The sequence below is a fragment of the Homo sapiens genome, chromosome 9 (assembly GCF_000001405.40).
Source record: "Homo sapiens chromosome 9, GRCh38.p14 Primary Assembly".
In the NCBI taxonomy this organism is placed as follows: Eukaryota; Metazoa; Chordata; class Mammalia; order Primates; family Hominidae; genus Homo; species Homo sapiens.
In genome coordinates, this window is record NC_000009.12 from 35,233,172 (window position 1) to 35,256,603 (window position 23,432).

Sequence of the window (23,432 nt, forward strand, 5' to 3'; positions counted from 1 at the left end):
ATGTTAGCCATAGTCCTGGCTATGGTTTATAAACCTAGCACTTCCAGTTGGCTATAACCATAATTTCCAGTTATAACTCTTCCCATCATATGAGGCACAGTGATCTTCTGCAGCCTCTCATCAGCATAGCCAGCATTATTCTTATGTGTTTATTTTCCAATTTCCCATAGCACTTCCCCTTTTGACCCTGCTGTGATATGTGTGAATTTTCTTCCTGTCTCTCCCACGTTGAGATGCTGTGTGAATTTTGCCCTCTTCTTTTACACGTGGGTTTTATTAGCTACTTTCTCTACTTTTCTGCTCTTCCTACTCCTTATTCCTCCTATCCTGTCCTATTTTAGTTATTTACTTATTTTTTTTGGTTCACTCCTTGCAGAACTTAGTCTACTACCCTGTCCTTTTGTCACCGGAATCTCCAGTGCTGGTTTCCTATCTCCCGTTCTCCTTTTTCCTTCTCCATGATGTATTATGTGGCAGTATCTAATATTCGTTTTGGTATTTCTTATATTATTTGTTTTTAATATTTTCATATCTTGTTTTTAGGATTAGATTGTTCATTTCTTAAGGGTAAGGTGGGCATCTTCACTATTTGTGTGCATTTGTGTAGCCCAGAGTCTGCTATACACGTGTTTATGTATATTGTTGATTGAATTAACAGAAAAGAAACTTCCCTAGGGTCCTGGGTATGAAGCATAAACAGAGCTCTCAGACCTCTCTTAGCTGGACCTGCTGAGCAAATGTAGGTGAGATGAGAAGCTTCTTATAGAATATATACTCATTGTTTGGGCCTTCTCCCTAGAGAGTTCTCTGAAGAGCAGATTTTCTTCTTTATCTGTTCAAGTCAAGCTGTTGAAGACCTCTGGCTATTTCTTCTGTCTGTTGGCTTGAGATGCTATTTGGGAGTTGATTTGGGAATATTATATATGTATCCCCAAGCAAATTTCTTTTTTTCTTTATTTTGTGGGACAGGGTCTCACTCTGTTGCCCAGGCTGGAGTGCAGTGGCAGCATCTTGGCTCACTGCAGCCTTGATCTCCTGGGCTCAAATGATTTTCCTGCCTCAGCCTCCTGAGTAACTGGGACTACAGATGCATGCCACCATGTCTAGCTAATTAAAAAAAATTTTTCTGGGAGACACTAGGTTTTGCCATGTTGTCCAGGCTGGTCTCAAACTCCTGGGCTCCAGTGATCTTCCCACCTCAGCCTCCCAACATACTGAGATTACAGGCATGAGCCATTGCACCTGGCCCAAGCAATTTTTCGATTCCATATTCAAATGATGGATAAGTCCAATGGATTTGAGGATGTCACATATCTTTTCCAAGACTAATTGGTTAATTAGGCTGAATTAAATTATGTGACAAAAAGCTTAGTTTCTCCACTGTGAACACTGTAACTTAGTGGCTAGGCTTATTCATCTACTTTGTGGCTCTGAACAGCTCTCCAGATAGCTTAGAAGTTTTTGGACACAAAAACTGAGTCCTATATTATGTTTCTACTCCAAAGCACTAAGTCATATGTCTTGTAAGTGCTCAGGAAATGCTAATTAAATGAATAAATTAACTCAGTACATTCTATGCTGTATTATATTTATATAAAAGGGACAAATTTTCTTTGCTTTATTCATTTTCAACACCTGACATGAATTCTGTGGCTGTCATTCTATATCTCAAACTTGTGAATCTGAGAACATTTATTTTATAGCACAACAGGGAACCCAAGCTTTCTCTAAAGTACAGACTTGAAGCTTCTACTTGTGATAAATAGCTGTTGTTTTCCTGAGAATGCCTTTCTGCTTTCTCTGCTGGAATTGGTCTTTTCTCATCTTTCTTGGATTACCCCTCAAGTAACCTTGTGTTTCAATAAGAGCTTTCTGGAGAACGTTTTTAGCATTAACACAGGTACTATTTGCGTATTCTAGTTTAATACTGGGATTATGTTTGAGTTAGTCCTTCCAAGCAGATATTCAACCATGTATGATACTGCTTTTAAATAGTGCTTATCTGGCTCTTTATGGAATGATTTCTTTTCGAATTTTTTCCCCTGGTTATTATTATAGGAAAATCATTGTATTTATCATTATCCCATGGTAATAATTTTGCTTATAAGTGACAGTGCCTAGCTTAATAATGATTAATGAGTCTCCAGGGACTGAGTGGTGTGAACTAGCACACTCTAGAGCCCCTCACTTGCCTGTGACCACATGTTCCTATCAAACTTATATGTTCTCAGGGACCCTACTTCTACCTGGACTCCCTTTCATAAATCCCCCCCGCCCCGCCCCGGCTTTTTTGGTGGGGATGGAGTCTGGCTCTGTCACTCAGGCTGGAGTGCAGTGGCGTGATCTTGGCTCTGCCTCCTGGGTTCAAGTGATTCTTGTGCCTCAGCCTCCCAAGTAGCTGGGATTACAGGTGTGCACCACCATGCCCAGCTAATTTTTGTATTTTTAGTAGAGACAGGGTTTTGCAACGTTGGCCAAGCTGGTCTCAAACTCCTGACCTCAGGTGATCTGTGCACCTCCCAAAGTGCTGGGATTACAGGCTTGAGCCACCATGCCCAGCCTGATAAATCTTGTAAAGTAGACTTACCTTTCCTAAAAGTTTCCTGTATACGATGTGTAGTTTAAGTTGAAGCAGTGTTAGTTAACAATAAAACATATAAAACTGTTGCCTATGGGTGGAAATTGGCAGGCAGGCCTGGCAATAATGTCCTTATTACTTGGCCTCATATTGTGTGAAACTGCATTAGTCTAATTATGATTGTATCTCCAAAGCGGAAAGAATGGATAGACAAAGGCATTTTTCTTTCTTTTCCCGCCCCCCCTCCCCACTGAGGTTTAATTGGGATATAAGAAACTGTACATAATTAATGTATACAATTTAGACATTTATATACTTGTGTTACCATCACCATAATCAAGGTAGTAAATATATTTATCACCTCTAAAAGTTTACTTGTGTCTCCTTTTTTTTGTTGTATGTGTGTGTTAAGAGCATTTAATATGAAATCTACCCTCTTAAATTTTGAGGTGCACAATACCTTATTGCTAACTGGAGGCACTATGTGGTATAGCAGCAGGTCTCTGGAACTTATTTAACTGTAACAAAGGCAGTTTTCTATGGATACCTATTATAGGTTTCTTGGAGCCTAAAAATGGTCGTGGCATTCTGGGAAATTTTGATTTTTCCTGAAGACAGGATCCTGGTGAGAAAGCATTCAAAGTTTAGCAAAACAGGAGATGTAGTTGTTTCTTTCATATTGTCTAGCTTTCCTCAAAGGGCTTTCCTCTTTCCCTTAGTGAGATTAGTCGCCTGGACCTGGGTCTAAGTGTGGAGGTATGGAACAAAGGACTGATCTGGGACACCATGGTGGGGACTGTGTGGATTGCGCTGAAGACTATTCGTCAGTCGGATGAGGTCAGTCATTGCATTTTCTGTTTGGAAGTATGGTTCCCAGCCCATGCTTCTCCCCATGCTAGCTCCACTTTAGCTAATATTCATCCATGCATCTTGGATTATTCTTCCCCCTTTCTAATTAGAGGGCATGCAACCTGCCTGTTCCTAACTTCACCTGAAGGTTCAGATGATTTTATTTATGTCTGGCCTACCCTGTGTCCTGTGACAACTCACAGGCTCCAGAGCACCTCTTCAGCCTTATCAGGTAGATAGCCCCTTCTGAGGTATGTGTGTGTCGGTGTGTGTGTTTACTTAGGGTACTTGTGGTTTCTGTGTTCTCTTCTAAGTCACTGCCCTGGGAGGAGTCCCATTAAACTTCCTTAGCCAGCTGGCTGGCTATTCTCTGCTTTGTTTCTTTGAGTTACCAATCTCCAAGGAACTAGTTTTCAGTGCCCTTCTTCTGCATGTAAGCCTGACAGAGTTTAAGGAACTACCAGGCTTGGCAATTTGTATTCACACTGTCTCTATACGTTATTTCTAGGATTGAACTCTTGCCTCACTTTCCTAGACTAGACCATAACTCAGCATCATTTCCCCACTTTGGACCTGGACAAAATCTGTTATATTCCTGTTTGGTGTTAACATGGACCATGAGTTTTCTCTGGGAGTGGGGAAGTTGAAATTGCCTGTATTTTCTGTATTTCTTTTAGTTCTAGCTAAGTCTCTACTCCCCAGGCAGATGGGCAGTTCATTTTCATTGCTGCCCCAGTTCAATCCTATTTAGCCAGCAATGTTAGTAGCTTTTTACTGACTAGAAACAGTGACACAGTCATTAAGAACTGTGCAGGTTAAATATTGATCCACAGAGGTACTTAGTTTTAGAGTATGGTACTCCAGACATTCTGTCCTCGTTAGACCTGCAGAGCTGAGCACAGTGAAAGCTGCTCTCCCCACCAAAGAGGGAAAACAGAAGCCACATGCAGTGGAGGCAGGTGGTGATAGTGGTGTGTTTGCCTTATCAGGATGTGAATGGCCCTCAGAAGCTCAAACAAGGAACTTCAGAGAAAAAAACCTGACTCTTGAACTAAGAGGGAGCCAAGAAAGATTAAACTTTAATCTTAGATCTTTGTTTCCTAGGAAGGGCCTGGGGAATGGTCCACATTAGAGGCAGAGACGTTAATGAAAGACGATGAGATCTGTGGAACTAGAAACCCAACTCCTCATAAAATTTTGCTTGATACAAGATTTGAGTTGCCTTTTGGTGAGTAAAATTTTAAAACTATTTAATAATTTTTACCATATTGTTTGGAATTGTTTGCTAGTTGTTTCATTAATGTATATTTTGTCACCTCAGCCATCTCCTTTGAGGATATTTTGTCTTCATTCACTCTCTTTCTCATAACACTTCACCCAGGGAATGGTGCAAAGTAGAATATAGAATAGTGCTCATTAAAGAATCTACACTAAAAAGCATTCTCTTCAACTCATTTAATTTTCTGTGACTATTTATTATAATGACTTATGAAATATTTGCTTGTTAGATTTATTATTTTGAAAATAAACATTTATTGTCTTGAAGTGACTATATATACCTTCTGATTTGTTAATTTAAGTATTAAATAGCACTGATAAATAGAATAATAATTTAAAATGTAAATTAAATCACAATACATGCTCATGATAAAAATTCAAATAGTAAGGAAATGTACATGGATAAAGTTAAAAGTTTATTTTCCCAGTTCCTTTAATCTTCTCTGCATTCTCCAGTGTGAAACCACTGTTAACATTCTTGTATTTTGGTTTAGACACATGATATTTATTTTCCAAAAACTTATTTTGGCAAAATTTGGATCATACCCTATGTAATATTTATTTGCTGATATATAGTGTTTTACAAACTGCTTAGACATTTATCCTGAACATCGCTCCATGTTATACTTTAAGATCTGTCTTATTCATCTGAACAGATGCCTCTACCATAATTTATCTTTTTTTTTTTTTTCCTTTTTTTGAGATGGAGTCTTGCTCTGCCCAGGCTTTAGGGCAGTGGCATGATCTTGGCTCACTGCAACCTCTGCCTCCTGGGTTCAAGTAATTCTCATGTCTCAGCCTCCTGAGTCACTGAGATTACAGGCTTGTGCTACCACACCTGGCTAATTTTTTGTAATTTTTAGTAGAGACAGGGTTTCACCATGTTGGTCAGGCTGGTCTTGAACTCCTGACCTCAAACGATCCGCCCACCTCTGCTTCCTAAAGTGCTGGAATTACAAGCGTGAGCCACCATGCCTGGCCTACCATAATTTATTTAAGTAATCCTTTATTGATTGACAGGTGGGTTTTTTCATTTTTTTTTTTTTTTGATGTTATATACCGCAAACTAATAACTCTGTATATCTTTGCCCATTTTGAGTCTAGAATAAATTTCTTAAAGTAGAATTGCTGGATCAAAGTATAAGTACATCATTACTTTTTATGGAATCTACTAAGTTCCTTGTCCAAAAGGTTATACCAATTTATACTCTTATAAATTATATCTGGGGAGTGCCTGTTTCTGCACATCCTTGGCAGTCTTTTGTGTTTCCCAATGGTTAATCTTTATTTGATTATTTTGTATGATATCTTATCAGGGGAAATTCAGCCCCCGATATTTCACGTGGGTCCTTTTCCATTTTTCCTAAGTGTTGGCCGGTCTAAGAAATAAAGGGAAAGAGTACAAAAGAGGGAAATTTTAAAGCTGGGTGTCCAGGGGAGACGTCACATGTCGGCAGGTTCTGTGATGCCCCCCAAGCCACAAAACCAGCAAGTTTTTATTGGTGATTCTCAAAAGAGGAGGGAGTGTACGAATAGGGTGTGGGTCACAGAGATCACATGCTTCACAAGGTAATAAAATATCACAAGGTAAATGGAGGCAGAGCGAGATCACAGGACTGGGGCGAAATTAAAATTGCTAATGAAGTTTCGGGCATGCATTGTCATTGATAACATTTTATCAGGAGACAGGCTTTGAGAGCAGACAACTGGTCTGACCAAAATTTATTAGGCAGGAATTTCCTTGTCCTAATAAGCCTGGGAGCACTACAGGAGACCAGGGCTTATTTCATCCCTTATCTACAACCGTAAAAGACAGACGTCCCCAAAGCAGCCATTTCAGAGGCCTCCCCTTAGGGACACATTCTCTTTCTCAGGGATGTTCCTTGCTGAGAAAAAGAATTCAGCAATATTTCTCCTGTTTGCTTTTGAAAGAAGAGAAATATGGCTCTGTTCCGCCCGGCCCACAGGCAGCCAGACTTCAAGGTTATCTCTCTTTTTCCCTGAACATCGCTGTTATCCTGTTCTTTTTTCAAGGTGCCCAGATTTCATATTATTTAAACAATTTGTGCAGTTAACACAATCCTCACAGGGTCCTGAGGCCACATTCAACCTCAGCTTACAAAGATGACGGGATTAAGAGATTAAAGTAAAGACAGGCATAGGAAATCTCGAGTATTGATTGGGGAAGTGATAAGTGTCCATGAAATCTTCACAATTTATGTTCAGAGATTGCAGTAAAGACAGGCTTAAGAAATTATAAAAGTATTAATTTGGGGAACTAATAAATGTCCATGAAATCTTCACAATTTATGTTCTTCTGCCATGGCTTCAGCCTGTCCCTCTGTTCAGGGTCCCTGACTTCCCGCAACAGTATCTTGTTTTAGTTTAGTTGATTTCTATTAGTTTTATTTTAATTTTTTACTGTTCATATTATTGATATTTGCATATTCTATTGTTATTGCTGTCATTTTATGATCTCAGTGTATTTGTATCTTGTATCCTATGGTGATTTAAGCAAAAATGACATGATTTTCCAGCTAGCTCAGAAAGAACTAAACTCAGAACAACTATTATTTCAGAAAAATAGAAAGGAAGTCTTTCTTGTGGGACTGTAGACCAAGCTGCAAGTGAAGGGAAAATCAATTGGAGGGAGTGGGTCTTGGTTCAAATACCACAGATATTGACCATTTTCACCAAATTTTAGTAGATATTCTTGAATAAATGTTTTTTCTTTTGCTGTATGCACTTAGAACCATTTCCAGAGACTTTAAATCGTTGTTTTTTTAATGTTGTATTACTTTTTGACTGATTTCACTCACTAATTACATAGTTACAAATGTTATATAAAATAGACATTATTCTTCTACTTTTAGTAGTTGATTTTATTTAAAAATCAGGGCCTGGCATGGTGGCTCACACCTGTAATCCCAGCATTTTGGGAGGCTGAGGTGGGTGGATCATGAGGTCAGGAGTTCAAGACCAGCCTGACCAACATGGTGAAACCCCATTTCTACTAAAAATACAAAAAATTAGCTGGGCAAGGTGTCGTGCGCCTGTAATCTCAGCTACTTAGGAGGCTGAGGCAGGAGAATCACTTGAACCCAGGAGGCATGGAGGTTGCAGTGAGCTGAGATTCCACCACTGCTCTCCAGCCTAGGTGATAGAGCAAGACTCTGTCTCAAAAAAAAAAAAAAAATCAGTAATAACAAAGTAACATTTATGGTGAATTATTGTGTGTTGGTGGGCATGTCACTAAGTATTTACATATGTTAGCTCAGTAATCCTCATTTCAGTCCTTTGAGGCAGGCCCAACTATTATTCCCCACTTTAGAGATAAGCAAACTATGGCAGAGAGTATTTAAGTATTTTGGCCATGGTCTGACTCTAGAGCCTGGGCTTTTAATTTTAACTATTTGTATAATACATTTAACCACTTCCTGTTGGGTATTTTGATTGTTTGAAGTTTGTACTGTTATAAATAGCACTGCAATAAACATGCTTGTATCTCTCTGTATTTTTTTCTTCTTAAAACTATTTTTGTGGAATGAGGCAGGAATAAATTAATAATGGTTTAAAAAGTTATCCAGTGAAAAGTCCCTTCAGAAATCCATTTTCTTCCTATAGGCTACCACTATTAATACTTTCTTGTGTATCTTTCCAGAGTCAGTTTCTGAATATAAGCACACACACACACACACACACACACACACACACACACACCACCATCTTCTTTTTAAAACGCAAATAGTAGCATATTCTAACACATTCCCTGTGCCTTGCTGTTTTGCACTTAGTATATCTTGGTGAATCATCCCACATCAGAGCATATAGACCTGCAGCAGCAGCAGCTCCTCTGCCACCTTGCACTTCCCACTCTCCTTCTTTGTAACAGGTGCATAGTATACCATTTTATGGGTGTACCATATGGATGAGAAAGCACTATACAAATTACGTTGTAGACTATTTGAAGGTGTGTGTAAGTGTTTTTAAATAAGACTTTGAAATATTGCTACCAGTTGTTAAAGAGCTAGTTGAAGGGAAGGAGCTGAAGTTTTGGACAGGTGGAACCAAGGAGAAAGGAAAGGGCTATATTTGCTTTATTCATGTGGCTACTAGAAAGTGTATCTGTTGAAATGTCTCTGAAGTTGATATGATCCATATATTGCCTGAGTGTTTCTCTTCAGTGCTGGTTAGATGGTCATACTTGATGTTTTTAAAAGGTGAGTTTTGGGGAGAAGTTGTTATAGTCAATGTAAAATGTTTAGGAATGAGGATATACCATTATACCATTATTTTTTAAGAATTCAAATATTTTCACTTAGAGACTCACTTAACAAATATTTGAGCATCTAATATTTTCCAGGCATAAAACCTGTGAGTATTTTTTAATAGCTTCTTTTAAAAAATTTTTAATTGTGGTAAGAGACATAACTGAAAATTTAGCATCTTAACCATTTTTAAGTGTACAGTTCACTAGTGTTAAGTACATTCACATTGTTGTGCAACAGATATCCAGAACTTTTTCACCTTGCAAAACTAAAACTCTGTCTCCATCAAACAACTTCTCATTTCCCCCTCCCCACAGCCACTGGCAACGACCATTCTTTCTTTTCTGTGAATTTGACTACTTTAGTTACCTTAGAGAAGTGAAATCATACAGTATTTGTCTTTTTTGTGATGGACTCATTTCATTTAGTGTAATGTCCTCAAAGTTTATCCATGTTATGGCATGTGGCAGGATTTTCTTCCTTTTAAGGCTGAATAATGCTCCGTTGTATGTAAATCTCTCATTTTGTTAATCCTTTCATCCATTAGTGGACACTTGGGTTGCTTCAACTCTTGGCTATTGTGAATAATGCTACTAGGAACTTGGGTGTGCACATATCTCTTTGAGATCCTGCTTTCACCTCTTTCGTATATATAATCCAAAGTGGGAGAACTATGTCACATGGTAATTCTACTTTTAATTTTTTTGGGAGAAAACCTTTGAATTTTGAGCATCTCAATATCTCAGCATATAACTTTTCTTTTAAGCTAATCCTTTGGATGGTTTTGGTCTTGCTGAGGGGAAGGTAGTATGGTTACATAGAAAGAATGTAGTTTTTGGAATCATACAAACCATGGTTTGAATCATGGCTCATCTCTTTATAAACTGTGACCCTGACCAGATTATTTTAGCTCTCTGAGCTTCAGCTTCTTCATCTACAAAATAACAATGGGAATAACAGTACATTGTATTGGTTTTTGTGAAGAGTAAAGATAATGTTCATGACAAGAACCAAACCATCAGTTAAAACTTGTGCATCACTACCACCTTCTGACTTCAGTCATTAGACAGAGTAAAGTGTTATCTGCTGATGATTTATTACCTGCTGATGTGATTTCTTTTCTTTTTCTTCTTTTTTTTATGGTAGATATCCCAGAGGAGGAAGCCAGATATTGGACCTACAAATGGGAGCAAATCAATGCCTTGGGAGCTGACAATGAGGTAGGAGCAGCCTTATTTGCAGTATAGAGAGATGGGGGAAAATCTCCAATGCTCTTTATAGGTTGCCCAGGGAGGGGCCCAAGAGCATGTTGTCCTGAGAATGAAATCACTTAAATTGCATTGAAGAAAAAAGGCAGCTAGAAGATTGCCTGAAATGTCACTAGAAGGTTCCATCTCCAATTTATTCTGTTCTTCCCACTCTCCCATACTGTGGTACTAGTCTGGCTGTAGACTCTTAGAGAGGGAGCTTGTACCAGGGAATCTGTCCTCTTTTGTTACACCTGTGAGTTGGAGGCATTTCTTTTGCTTCTACTGTCTCTCAGTTTTTTGGATATTATTCTTATTTGTGTCCTGTTTTTGAGGATGTTTAGACTATTGCATTGTTTGTTCTTGCTGGTCCTAACTTACCTCCAGAGATGAGGCTGGTGTGTATAAGAGAATGCATTCAGCTCAACCTGGGGCATCAGGATTGGAGAATGTTTTTGTTATTGCTGATGGAGGGAAAAGATGATAAATTTGTTTATTTTGGACATGTGGGCTACTAAAAAATGGGTCTGATTATAAGATATACTTTGAGTGCCAGAGGATATTTCAGCAGAAATTGTTGATAAACAATTTCATGAGATAATTTGAAGTTGAGGTTTGAATGGGTAGGGAGCTGTAGGCATAGAGCTTCATTAATATATTAGTAACAATTGAAGTCATAGGAATGGAAAAACTTGCTCAGGTAGAGCGTATGGAGACAGTATTAAAGAACAGGAACAAAATCTTGGGAAACCTTAGACATAGAATTCTGAGAAACAAAGGAGACTGAGAAAGGGCAACCTTAAAGAGAGAGAATAAGATAACCAGGAAAGATTAATGGAACAAAGAAAAAAAGAGATTCAAGGCAGAAATTCTTGACAGTATCACATGTTAAATCAAGTGAATTATGAAATAGAGCTATTGGATTTGGTGATTGATGACGAGTATACATCCATAGACTAGTACAGAAAGCCAAAATGCAGTGGTTTGATGACTGTATTTGTTTCCTACAGCTGCCATCACAAAGTACCACAAACTAGGTGGCTTACAGCAACCAAAATTTGTTTTCACACAGTTCTGTAGACTGGAAGTCTGAAATTAGGCTGTCAGCAGGATCAGTTCAGCTCCGTCTAGAGGCTCTGAAGGAGGAAGCATCCTGTACTCTTCTGCCTCTGATGGTTGCTGGCAGTCCTTGCTGTTCCTTAGCTTGTAGATGTATCATTCTAATCTCTGCCTCTGTTGTAATGTGCCTCCCTGTGTGTCTGTCTGTGTCTTCACAATGCATTCTCCTGTCTCTGTGTGTCTGTGTCTAAATTTCCATTTTTCTTGTAAGAACAACAGTCATTGAATTAATTTGATTATATCTGCAGAGACCTTGTTTCCAAATAAGGTCATATTCACAGATACTTAGGGTTAGAAGTCTAACATATCTTTTAGGACATAGTTCAACCCACAGTGAGTTAAATGAAAGATGAAGAAATGGCATTTGGGACAAGCAACATCTACTCTTTTCAGGGTTTTCCGTTACCTCCTTTATTCTTGGTAGGCTTTCTGTTATTAAGCTGTATAACTCTTCTCATGTCCACACCAACATCCTAACTTTTCTTCATTGTTGAAAGCTCCAGTCCTCTTTCTCCACTTAGTAACTCTGAGCATTTGTGCTATCTTTGCATGTACTTTACTTTGTGTTTTCGTTCTTCCCAAGCCTGGCTGTGGAGTGGTATTCAGCCTTTCAGACTGCCATCATCTTTGTTTTCCTAGTAAAGAAGCATGTTGTACTTTTCGTTTTATAGGCTTTGCTCTGTGTCATTATACAGAATCAGAAGAAGGGATTAAAACAATTTAAAAACCAAATATAACTTATACAAAAATTGTGGAATTTTATAAGTTCTAATAATAATGGTTCTTGGTCTGTGGTTCCCAACTGCATATCAGATTTTTGCTTTCTGTTTTTTTTTTTTAATTTTATTATTTTTATACTTTAAGTTTTAGGGTACATGTGCACAATGTGCAGGTTTGTTACATATGTATACATGTGCCATGTTGGTGTGCTGCACCCATTAACTCGTCATTTACATTAGGTATATCTCCTAATGCTATCCCTCCCCCCCTCCCCCCACCCCACAACAGGCCCCAGTGTGTGATGTTCCCCTTCCTGTGTCCAAGTGTTCTCATTGTTCAATTCCCACCTGTGAGTGAGAACATGCGATGTTTGGTTTTTTGTCCTTGGTGATAGTTTGCTGAGAATGATGGTTTCCAGCTTCATCCATGTCCCTACAAAGGACATGAACTCATCATTTTTTATGGCTGTATAGTATTCCATGGTGTATATGTGCCACATTTTCTTAATCCAGTCTATCATTGTTGGACATTTGGGTTGGTTCCAGGTCTTTGCTATTGTGAATAGTGCCGCAATAAACATACGCATGCATGTGTCTTTATAGCAGCATGATTTATAATCCTTTGGGTCTATACCCAGTAATGGGATGGCTGAGTCAGATGGTATTTCTAGTTCTAGATCCCTGAGGAATCGCCACACTGTATTCCACAATGGTTGAACCAGTTTCCAGTCCCACCAACAGTGTAAAAGTGTTCCTATTTCTCCACATCCTCTCCAGCACCTGTTGTTTCCTGACTTTTTAATGATCGCCATTCTAACTGGTGTGAGATGGTATGTCATTGTGGTTTTGATTTGCATTTCTCTGATGGCCAGTGATGATGAGCATTTTTTCATGTGTCTGTTGGCTGCATAAATGTCTTCTTTTGAGAAGTGCCTGTTCATGTCCTTTGCCCACTTGTTGATGGGGTTGTTTTTTTTTTCTTGTAAATTTGTTTGAGTTCATTGTAGATTCTGGATATTAGCCCTTTGTCAGAGGAGTAGATTGCAAAAATTTTCTCCCATTCTGTAGGTTGCCTGTTGACTCTGATGGTAGTTTCTTTTGCTGTGCAGAAGCTCTTTAGTTTAATTAGATCCCATTTGTCAATTTTGGCTTTTGTTGCTATTGCTTTTGGTGTTTTAGTCATGAAGTCCTTGCCCATGCCTATGTCCTGAATGGTATCGCCTAGGTTTTCTTCTAGGGTTTTTATGATTTTAGGTCTAACATTTAAGTCTTTAATCCATCTTGAATTAATTTTTGTATAAGGTGTAAGGAAGGGATCCAGTTTCAGCTTTCTACATATGGCTAGCCAGTTTTCCCAGCACCATTTGTTGAATAGGGAATCCTTTTCCCATTTCTTGTGTTTGTCAGGTTTGTCAAAGATCAGATGGTTGTAGATGTGTGGTATTACTTCTGAGGGCTCTGTTTTGTTCCATTGATCTATATCTCTGTTTTGGTACCAGTACCATGCTGTTTTAATTACCGTAGCCTTGTAATATAGTTTGAAGTCAGGTAGCATGATGCCTCCAGCTTTGTTCTTTTGGCTTAGGATTGACTTGGCAATGTGGGCTCTTTTTTGGTTCCATATGAACTTTAAAGTAGTTTTTTCCAATTCTGTGAAGAAAGTCATTGGTAGCTTGATGGGGGGATGGCATTGAATCTATAAATTACCTTGGGCAGTATGGCCATTTTCATGATATTGATTCTTCCTATTCATGAGCATGGAATGTTCTTCCATTTGTTTATATCCTTTTTTATTTTGTTGAGCAGTGGTTTGTAGTTCTCCTTGAAGAGGTCCTTCACATCCCTTGTAAGTTGGATTCCTAGGTATTTTATTCTCTTTGAAGCAACTGTGAATGGGAGTTCACTCATGATTTGGCTCTCTGTTTGTCTGTTATTGGTGTACAGGAATGCTTGTGATTTTTGCACATTGATTTTGTATCCTGAGACTTTGCTGAAGTTGCTTATCAGCTTAAGGAGATTTTGGGCTGAGACAGTGGGGTTTTCTAGATATACAATCATGTCATCTGCAAACAGGGACAATTTGATTTCCTCTTTTTCTAATTGAATACCCTTTATTTCTTTGTCCTGCCTGATTGCCCTGGCCAGAACTTCCAACGCTATGTTGAATAGGAGTGGTGAGAGAGGGCATCCCTGTCTTGTGCCAGTTTTCAAAGGGAATGCTTCCAGTTTTTGCCCATTCAGTATGATATTGGCTGTGGGTTTGTCATAGATAGCTCTTATTATTTTGAGATACGTCCCATCAGTACCTAATTTATTGAGAGTTTTTAGCATGAAGGGCTGTTCAATTTTGTCAAAGACCTTTTCTGCATCTATTGAGATAATCATGTGGTTTTTGTCTTTGGTTCTGTTTATATGCTGAATTAGATTTATTGATTTGTGTATGTTGAACCAGTCTTGCATCCCAGGGATGAAGCCCACTTAATCATGGTGGATAAGCTTTTTGATGTGCTGCTGGATTCAGTTTGTCAGTATTTTATTAAGGATTTTTGCGTCAATGTTCATCAGGGATATTGGTCTAAAATTCTCTCTTTTTGTTGTGTCTCTGCCAGGCTTTGGTATCAGGATGATGCTGGCCTCATAAAATGAGTTAGGGAGGATTCCCTCTTTTTCTATTGATTGGAATAGTTTCAGAAGGAATGGTACCAGCTCCTCCTTGTACCTCTGGTAGAATTCGGCTGTGAATCTGTCTGGTCCTGGACTTTTTTTGGTTGGTAAGCTATTAATTATTGCCTCAATTTCAAAGCCTGTTATTGGTCTATTCAGAGATTCAACTTCTTCCTGGTTCATTCTTGGAATGGTGTATGTGTCGAGGAATTTATCCTTTTCTTCTAGATTTTCTAGTTTATTTGCGTAGAGGTGTTTATAGTATTCTCTGATGGTAGTTTGTATTTCTGTGGGATCAGTGGTGATATCTCCTTTATCATTTTTTACTGTGTCTATTTGATTCTTCTCTCTTTTCTTCTTTATTAGTCTTGCTAGCAGTCTATCAATTTTGTTGATTTTTTCAAAAAACCAGCTCCTGGATTCATTGATTTTTTTGAAGGGTTTTTTGTGTCTCTATGTCCTTCAGTTCTGCTCTGTTCTTAGTTATTTCTTGCCTTCTGCTAGCTTTTGAATGTGTTTGCTCTTGCTTCTCTAGTCCTTTTAATTGTGATGTTAGGGTGTGAATTTTAGATCTTTCCTGCTTTCTCTTGTGGCCATTTAGTGCTATAAATTTCCCTCTACACATTGCTTTGAATGTGTCCCAGAGATTCTGGTTCGTTGTGTCTTTGTTCTCGTTGGTTTCAAAGAACATCTTTATTTCTGCCTTCATTTCATTATGTACCCAGTAGTCATTCAGGAGCAGGTTGTTGAGTTTCCATGTAGTTGAGCGGTTTTGAATGAGTTTATTACTCCTGAGTTCTAGTTTGATTGCACTGTGGTCTGAGAGACAGTTTGTTATAATTTCTGTTCTTTTACATTTGCTGAGGAATGCTTTACTTCCAACTATGTGGTCAATTTTAGAGTAAGTGCGGTGTGGTGCTGAGGAGAATGTATATTCTGTTGATTTGGGGTGGAGAGTTCTGTAGATGTCTATTAGATCTGCTTGGTGCAGAGCTGAGTTCAATTCCTGGATATCCTTGTTAACTTTCTGTCTCGTTGAGCTGTCTATTGTTGACAGTGGGTGTTAAAGTCTCCCATTATTATTGTGTAGGAGTCTAAGTCTCTTTGTAGGTCTCTAAGGACTTGCTTTATGAATCTGGGTGCTCCTGTATTGGGTGCATGTATATTTAAGATAGTTAGCTCTTCTTGTTGAATTGATCCCTTTCCCATTATGTAATGGCCTTCTTTGTCTCTTTTGATCTTTGTTGGTTTAAAGTCTGTTTTATCAGAGACTAGGATTGCAACCCCTGCCTTTTTTTGTTTTCCTTTTGCTTGGTAGATCTTCCTCCATCCCTTTATTTTGAGTCTATGTGTGTCTCTGCACATGCGACGGGCTTCCTGAGTACAGCACATTGATGAGTCTTGACTCTTTATCCAATTTGCCAGTCTGTGTCTTTTAATTGGAGCATTTAGCCCATTTACATTTAAGGTTAATATTGTTACTTGTGAATTTGATCCTGTCATTATGATGTTAGCTGGTTAGTTTGCTCGTTAGTTGATGCAGTTTCTTCCTAGCATCGATGGTCCTTACAATTTAGCATGTTTTTGCAGTGGCTGGTACCGGTTGTTCCTTTCCATGTTTAGTGCTTCCTTCAGGAGCTCTTGTAGGGCATGCCTGGTGGTGACAAAATCTCTCAGCATTTGCTTGTCTGTAAAGTATTTTATTTCTCCTTCACTTATGAAGCTTAGTTTGGCTGGATATGAAATTCTGGTTGAAAATTCTTTTCTTTAAGAATGTTGAATATTGGCCCCCACTCTCTTCTGGCTTGCAGAGTTTCTGCCGAGAGATCCACTGTTAGTCTGATGGGCTTCCCTTTGTGGGTAACCCGACCTTTCTCTCTGGCTGCCCTTAACATTATTTCCTTCATTTCAACTTTGGTGAATCTGACAATTATGTGTCTTGGAGTTGCTCTTCTCGAGGAGTATCTTTGTTGCTTTCTGTTTTTATTCTAGGGTATGGCACTCACTACATTTTCATCTTTCATCCTCTCTTCCACTGTGCTGTTTATCTTTTTAGCAGTTTTATTGAAATATAATTTTTATATACTGTACAGTTCACTCATCTAAAGCTTACAATTCGGTGGCTTTCAGTATCTTCATAGTTGTGCCCTATGGATATCACCACAACTCCAAATCAGATTTTTGCCTTCTGTTTTTATTCTAGGGTATGGCATTCACTAAGTTTTTATCTTTCGTCTTTCTTCCACTGTGCTGTTTATCTTTTTAGCAGCTTTGTTGAAATATAATTTATATATACCATACAGTTCACTCATTTAAAGCTTACAATTCAGTGGCTTTTACTAGCTTCATAGTTGTGCCCATGGATATCACCACAATTTTGAATATTTTCATTGCCCCGTAAAGAAACCCTGTGCCCTTAGTCATCAGTCTCCATTCTTCCCTATCCTCCTCAGCCCTATACAACCACTAATCAACCTTCTGTCTCTATGGACCTATTCTGTGCATTTCATATAAATGAAATTATATAACATGTGGTCCTTTGTTTTCTTTCACTTAGCATAATGTTTTCAAGGTTTCATTCTTGTTTTACCATGTAAATAAATTCCTTTTTATTGCCAAATAACATTCCATTGTATGGATGTAGTACATTTTAAATTCATTCATTAGTTGATGGACAGTTGGGTTGTTTCTCTGCTTGTTAGCTGTTATGGATAATGCTGCTTCGAATGTTTATATACAAAATGTTGTGTGGACATATGTTTTCACTTCTCTTGCGTATGACTTGGGAGTGGAATTGCTAGATCACATGGTAACTCTGCATTTAACTGATAGACTGCCAGCCTATTTTCCAAAGTGGCTATGACATTTTATACTCCTACCAGCAGTGTATAAGGGTTTCAATTTCTTCATATTCTTGTCAACACTTGTTATTATCTTTTTTATTATATCCATTCTTCGATTCTTAGCATGTATGAAGTGGTCTCTCATTTTGGTTGCTATTCCATTTAAAAACTTTTTTATTATGGAAATTTTGAAGCATGAAAAAATGTAGAGTTACTCTTCCTTTTTTTTTTTTTTTTTTTTTTTGAGAAGGAATCTCACTCTGTTGCCCAGGCTGGAGTGCAGTGGCGCGATCTCTGCTCACTGCAAGCTCCACCTCCCGGGTTCATGCCATTCTCCTGCCTCAGCCTCCGGAGTAGCTGGGACTACTGGCACCCGCCACCGCACCCGGCTAATTTTTTTGTATCTTTTAGTAGAGACAGGGTTTCACCGTGTTAGCCAGGACGGTCTCGATCCTCTGACCTCGTGATCCGCCCGCCTCGGCCTCCCAAAGTGCTGGGATTACAGGCGTGAGTCACCGCGCCCGGCCTACTCTTCCATTTTTTGCTGGAGTATTTTAAAACCAATCCAGCCGGGTGTGTTGGCTCATGCCAGTAATCCCAGCACTCTGGGGGGGCCGAGGTGGTCAGACCACTTGAGGTCAGGATTTCAAGACCAGCCTGACCAACATGGTGAAAACCCGTCTCTACTAAAAATACAAAAATTAGCTTGGCGTGGTGGTGGGAACCTGTATTCCCACCTACTTGGGAGGCTGAGGCAGGAGAATCACTTGAACCTAGGAGGCAGAGGCTACAGTGAGCCGAGATCACATCACTGCACTCCAGGCTGAGTGACAGAGCGAGATTCCCTATCAAAAACAAAAAACAATCCTAGGTATTATCTTGTCTCACCCATAAATATATCAATATAGATCTCTAACAGATAATACTTTTTTTTAAAAAAAAACCACAATGCCATTATCACACTGAACTTAATAATTTCTTAGTGTCATCCAATACCTAGTCTTTTCAATTTTCTTTATTATCTAGAAGATGTGTTTTCATAGTTGATTTTTTCATTTCAAGAGCCAGATAAGATGTGCCCATTTGGCTGTCATGTCTCTTAAATCATTTTACTTTATTTTATTTTTGTATTTTTTGTAGAGATGGTGTTTCACCATTTGCCCAGGCTGGTCGCAAACTTCTGGGCTCAAGCGATCTGCCCGCCTTGGCCTCCCAAAGTGCTGAGTTTACAAGCATGGGACACCAAGCTCAGCTCCTTGAATCATCTTAGCTGTAAAATCATTCACTTTCCCTCATCTGTTTTGTAGACTTCTGCACATTCTGGATTTTGCTGATTGTGTCCCCAGGTTTTATTTACCATGTTCCTTTATCTCTCTTATTTCCTTTAAACTGAAAAGTGCATCTATTAGTTTGAAGATTAGGTTATAGTTCATTTTTGTGATAGAGGTGATGTTAAAATTCAACAGTGGATTCAAGTATTGTCAGCCCATTTCATTCATTATGATGTTTTCCCATCAGCCTTTCATCTAATGGTTTTAGCTGCAAATAATAATGACTATTTTATTAGAGTCTGAAAAATGATTTTCTTTCTTTCTTTTATTTATTTATTTTTATTTGAGACAGTCTTACTTTGTCACCCAGGCTGGCGTGCAGTGGTGCTGCAGTCTCCGCCTCCTGAGTTCCTCAGCCTCCTGAGTAGCTGAGATTACAGGCGTGCACTACCATGCCTGGCTAATTTTTGTATTTTTTTTATAGTGACAGGGTTTCACCTTGTTGCCCAGGCTGGTCTCAAACTCCTGGCCTCAAGTGATCTGCCCACCTCGGCCTCCCAAAGTGCTGGGATTTCAGGCGGAAGCCACTGTGGCTGGTCTGATAGTCTAATTATATTATCCCTTCAGCATTTATTAGCTATGATTTGTCTATAAAAAAAATTTTCTCAATCCCAGCACTTTGGGAGGCCGAGACGGGCGGATCACGAGGTCAGGAGATCGAGACCATCCTGGCTAACACAGTGAAACCCCGTCTCTACTAAAAATACAAAAAATTAGCCGGGCGTGTTGGCAGGTGCCTGTAGTCCCAGCTACTTGGGAGGCTGAGGCAGGAGATTGGCGTGAACCCAGGAGGCGGAGCTTGCAGTGAGCTGAGATTGCACCACTGCCCTCCAGCCTGGGCAACAGAGCGAGACTCTGTCTCAAAAGAAAAAAAAAATTTTTTTTCTGTTACCAGCTATTCAGTTCACAGAAATATAGTCTGTATAAGAAAAACATTCTCTTTTATATTTTTAGAATAATGAACTGTTGCCTCAGCAACTTCTCAAGGTGACCAGTAAGTTATTTTCTTTTTTAAATGGAATATTACTATGTATTTATAAATTTGGGTATATTTGATAATGTATTTCAGCCCATTGCAATCATTCTTTTTTGGAGACAGGGTCTTGCTCTGTTGTCCAGGCTGGAGTGCAATGGCACAATCATAGCTCACTACATCCTGGAATATCTAGGTTCAAGTGATCCTCCCAGTTCAGCTTCCCAAGTAGCAGAGACTACAGGCACACATCACCGCACCTAGCTAGTTTTTAATTTTTTTGTGGAGGTGGGGTCTTGCTATGTTGCCCAGGCTGGACATTCTTTTTGATACTAAAATGATCTCATCTTTGGTTAATGGGAGTTTCTTCAAGTTGGCTTTTTTCTCTTCTCTTTTTCTATTTTTATCATGAAAAAAATTTAAGTATACATACAAATACAGGAATAATAAAAGGAAACCCATGTGTATACCTACCCCTAAGATTCACTAATTATTAAGATTTCATCATACTTGCTGCAAAATCATTTTAAAAATACAATATAGAGTCTAACTTTTTTATTCTACAGTGTGTAACGTTTCCCATACACCTCGTGGGCCTAGAAGTGCTAATCAAGACTGATTTGGGCACCTACCACTTTACAGAGTTGGATTGTACCACACTGTATTACTTTTCCTACTCATGGGCAATTAGGTTTTCACTATTATAAATGCGTGCTGCAGTGAACATTTCTGGACCTGTTTCTCTATGCTTGTATTTGACAGAGTCTCTGGGTGTATATCTGGAAGGATAGTTGCTTGGTTGTAGGATATGCTCTGTTCAACCTTAGTAGATATTACTAAATTGCTTTCTGAAGTGATTGTGCCAATTTACATTTACCCTTTTCCTGTTTCACTGTTTCCTTACTGATACTTGATGTTATCAGATTTTAAATTTTTGTTAATCTAACAAGTATAGAAATTGTTTTAATTTGTATTTTCCTGTTTATTGGTGAGATTTATTCATTTATTCACCAAATCAGTTATTACGCATCAGGTACCATGCACTATTCTGTGTTTAATATACATCAGTGGTTGAAGATCCCTACCCTCATGGATCACATAGGCAGAATCAGACAGTAAGCAAGAAATATAATAAATATAGTTGAGTATTAGAAGGTGAGAAGTGCTATAGGGGATTTCTTAGTCTATTTGGATTGCTATAACAATGCAAACTGGATAGCTTATAAACAACAGAGACTTATTTCTTATAGTTCTGGAGGATGGGAAGTCTAAAATCAAGGCACTGGCACATTCATTGTCTGGTGAGGGCCCATTTCCTGGTTCATAGACAGCACCCTGCTGTGTTCTCATGTGATGGAAGCATGCTCTCTGGAGCCTCTTTTGTAAGGGTGCTTATGCCATTCATGAAGTCTCCACCCTTATGACCTAATCATCTCCCAAAGGCCCTACCTCCTAGTACCATCACACAGGTGAATTTTTGGTGGGGGCAGGGGTGGTGGGATACAAACATTCAGACTATAGCAGAGGGGTGTATATTTTTTCTCCATGTAGGTATTATACTACTTTTGTTAGATTTTTTTCCCTAATTGTTGCAAATGGTACATTCTAAAAATTACATTTTCTAGTTGGTTATCACATTACTATTATAAGTAAATGCTTTGCTGCTCATCTTTTTAAAGTATTGATCTTACTCATCAACTCTTATTATTAATAGTTCTGATACTTTAAAGATTCCCTTAGATTTTCTGTGCGACTAGGTTTTGCATCTTTAAATTACAGTTTTTATTCTCCTAGTCCTTACGCTTTTTCTAAGTGTTGAATTGTTTATACATTATTTATATATATTATATATAATATACGTATATAATATATAATATACATATATAATATAATATATATTAATATATGTATATAATATAATATATTATATTATATATTAATATATGTATATATTATATTATATTATATATTAATATATGTATATATAATATAATATATATTATATATAATATAATATATATTATGTATAATATAATATATATATTATATATATATTATATATATTTTTTCTTAGACAGATTCTTACTCTTTCACCCAGGCTGGAGTGCAGTGGCACTCCAGTGATCCGCCTGCCTTGGACTCCCAAAGTGCTGGGATTACAGGCGTGAGCCATTGTGCTGGGCCTGTTTACGCATATATTTTTATTAACAGACTTCATTTTTTAGACGTTTTAGATTTATAGAAATATTGAGCAGATATTTATCCCCTCCCCCACCCCATCTTATAGTTTCCCTTATTATTAACATCTTACATTAGTGTAACTGCCCAACGGGTTCACCTTGTGTGCTGCCTATTCAGAGCTGATTTATGAAGACAGGGGAACTGCAGAGGAGAAAGAGTAATTCACTCAGAGCCAGCTGTGCAGGAGACTGCAGTTTTATTATTACTCAAATCAGTCTCCTGGAGCATTCGGGCATCAGAGTTTTTAAAGATAATTTGACAGGTAGGGGTTTGGGAAGTGGGGAATGCTGATTGGTTAGGTCGGAGATGGAATCATAGCAGGTAGAAGTGAGTTTTTCTTGCTATCTTCTGTTCCTGGGTGGGATGGCAGAACTGGTTGGGCCAGATGGGTGGTGTCAGCTGATTGATCTAGTGCAGGGTCTGCAAAATATCTCAAGCACGGATCTTAGGTTTTATAATAGTGATGTTATTCCCAGAAGCAATTTGGGGAGGTTCAGACTCTTGGAGCCAGAGGCTGCATGACCCCTAAAGTGATTTCTAATCTTGTAGCTAATTTGTTAGTCCTGCAAAGGCAGACTGGTCCCCGGGCAAGAAGGGGGTCTTTTTGGAAAATAGCTATTATCAATTTTGTTTCAGAGTCAAAACCATGAACTGAATTCCTTCCCGAAGTTAGTTCAGCCTATGCCCAGGAATGAACAAGGACAGCTTAATGGTTAGAAGCAAGATGGAACTGGTTAGGTCTGATTTCTTTCACTGTCATACTTTCCTTAGTTATGATTTTTGCAAAGGCAGTTTTGTTAGTGTGATACATTTGTTACAGTTAATGAACTAATATTGGTACATTATTATTAACTAAAGAGTATTTTTTATTTATTTTATTAACTAAAAAATAAAGCTAAAATTCCATAGTTTATTCAGATTTCCTCAGTTTTTACCTTGAGTCTTTTTTGTTATTTCAGGATCTCATCCAGGATATTGCATTACACTTAGTTGTCATGTCTCCTTAGGCTTCTCTTGGTTGTAGTATTTTCTCAGACTTTTCTTGTTTCTCATGACCTTTTATTTAAAACATTCAATGCCTAAGACATCTAGTATAATTTTTAACATTGTAAGAGTGGAGAGCCTTGTCTGTCTTCTGACTGTAAGGGGACTGCTTTATAAGTTTTAAAGTATGCTGTTTGCCATGGATTTTGGTAGATACTCTTTATCAGATTAAGGAAATTCTATTTTCTTTCTTATTTTTTAAGCATTTTTGTCATGAAAAAGTATGGGGTTTTATCACATCTTTTTCTGCATCTGTTTGATCACATAGTTTTTCTCTT

The 23,432-nt window shown here is 38.3% G+C and overlaps 1 protein-coding gene across 11 annotated transcripts in view; it reads left to right on the plus strand.

The window, feature by feature from the left end:
- UNC13B (unc-13 homolog B) overlaps window positions 1–23,432 on the plus strand; it is a 243,327-nt gene that overhangs the window by 71,163 nt on the left and 148,732 nt on the right. For all 11 annotated transcript variants that reach the window (NR_170667.1, NM_001387551.1, NM_001371189.2 and 8 more), the window contains exons 4-6: window positions 3,298–3,415; window positions 4,532–4,655; window positions 10,120–10,193. Coding sequence is in view for 10 of the 11 variants with exons in the window: in NM_001387551.1 (NP_001374480.1) it covers window positions 3,298–3,415; window positions 4,532–4,655; window positions 10,120–10,193 (316 nt within the window). In the remaining variant the exon portion in view is untranslated. The remainder of the gene's footprint in view (window positions 1–3,297; window positions 3,416–4,531; window positions 4,656–10,119; window positions 10,194–23,432) is intronic.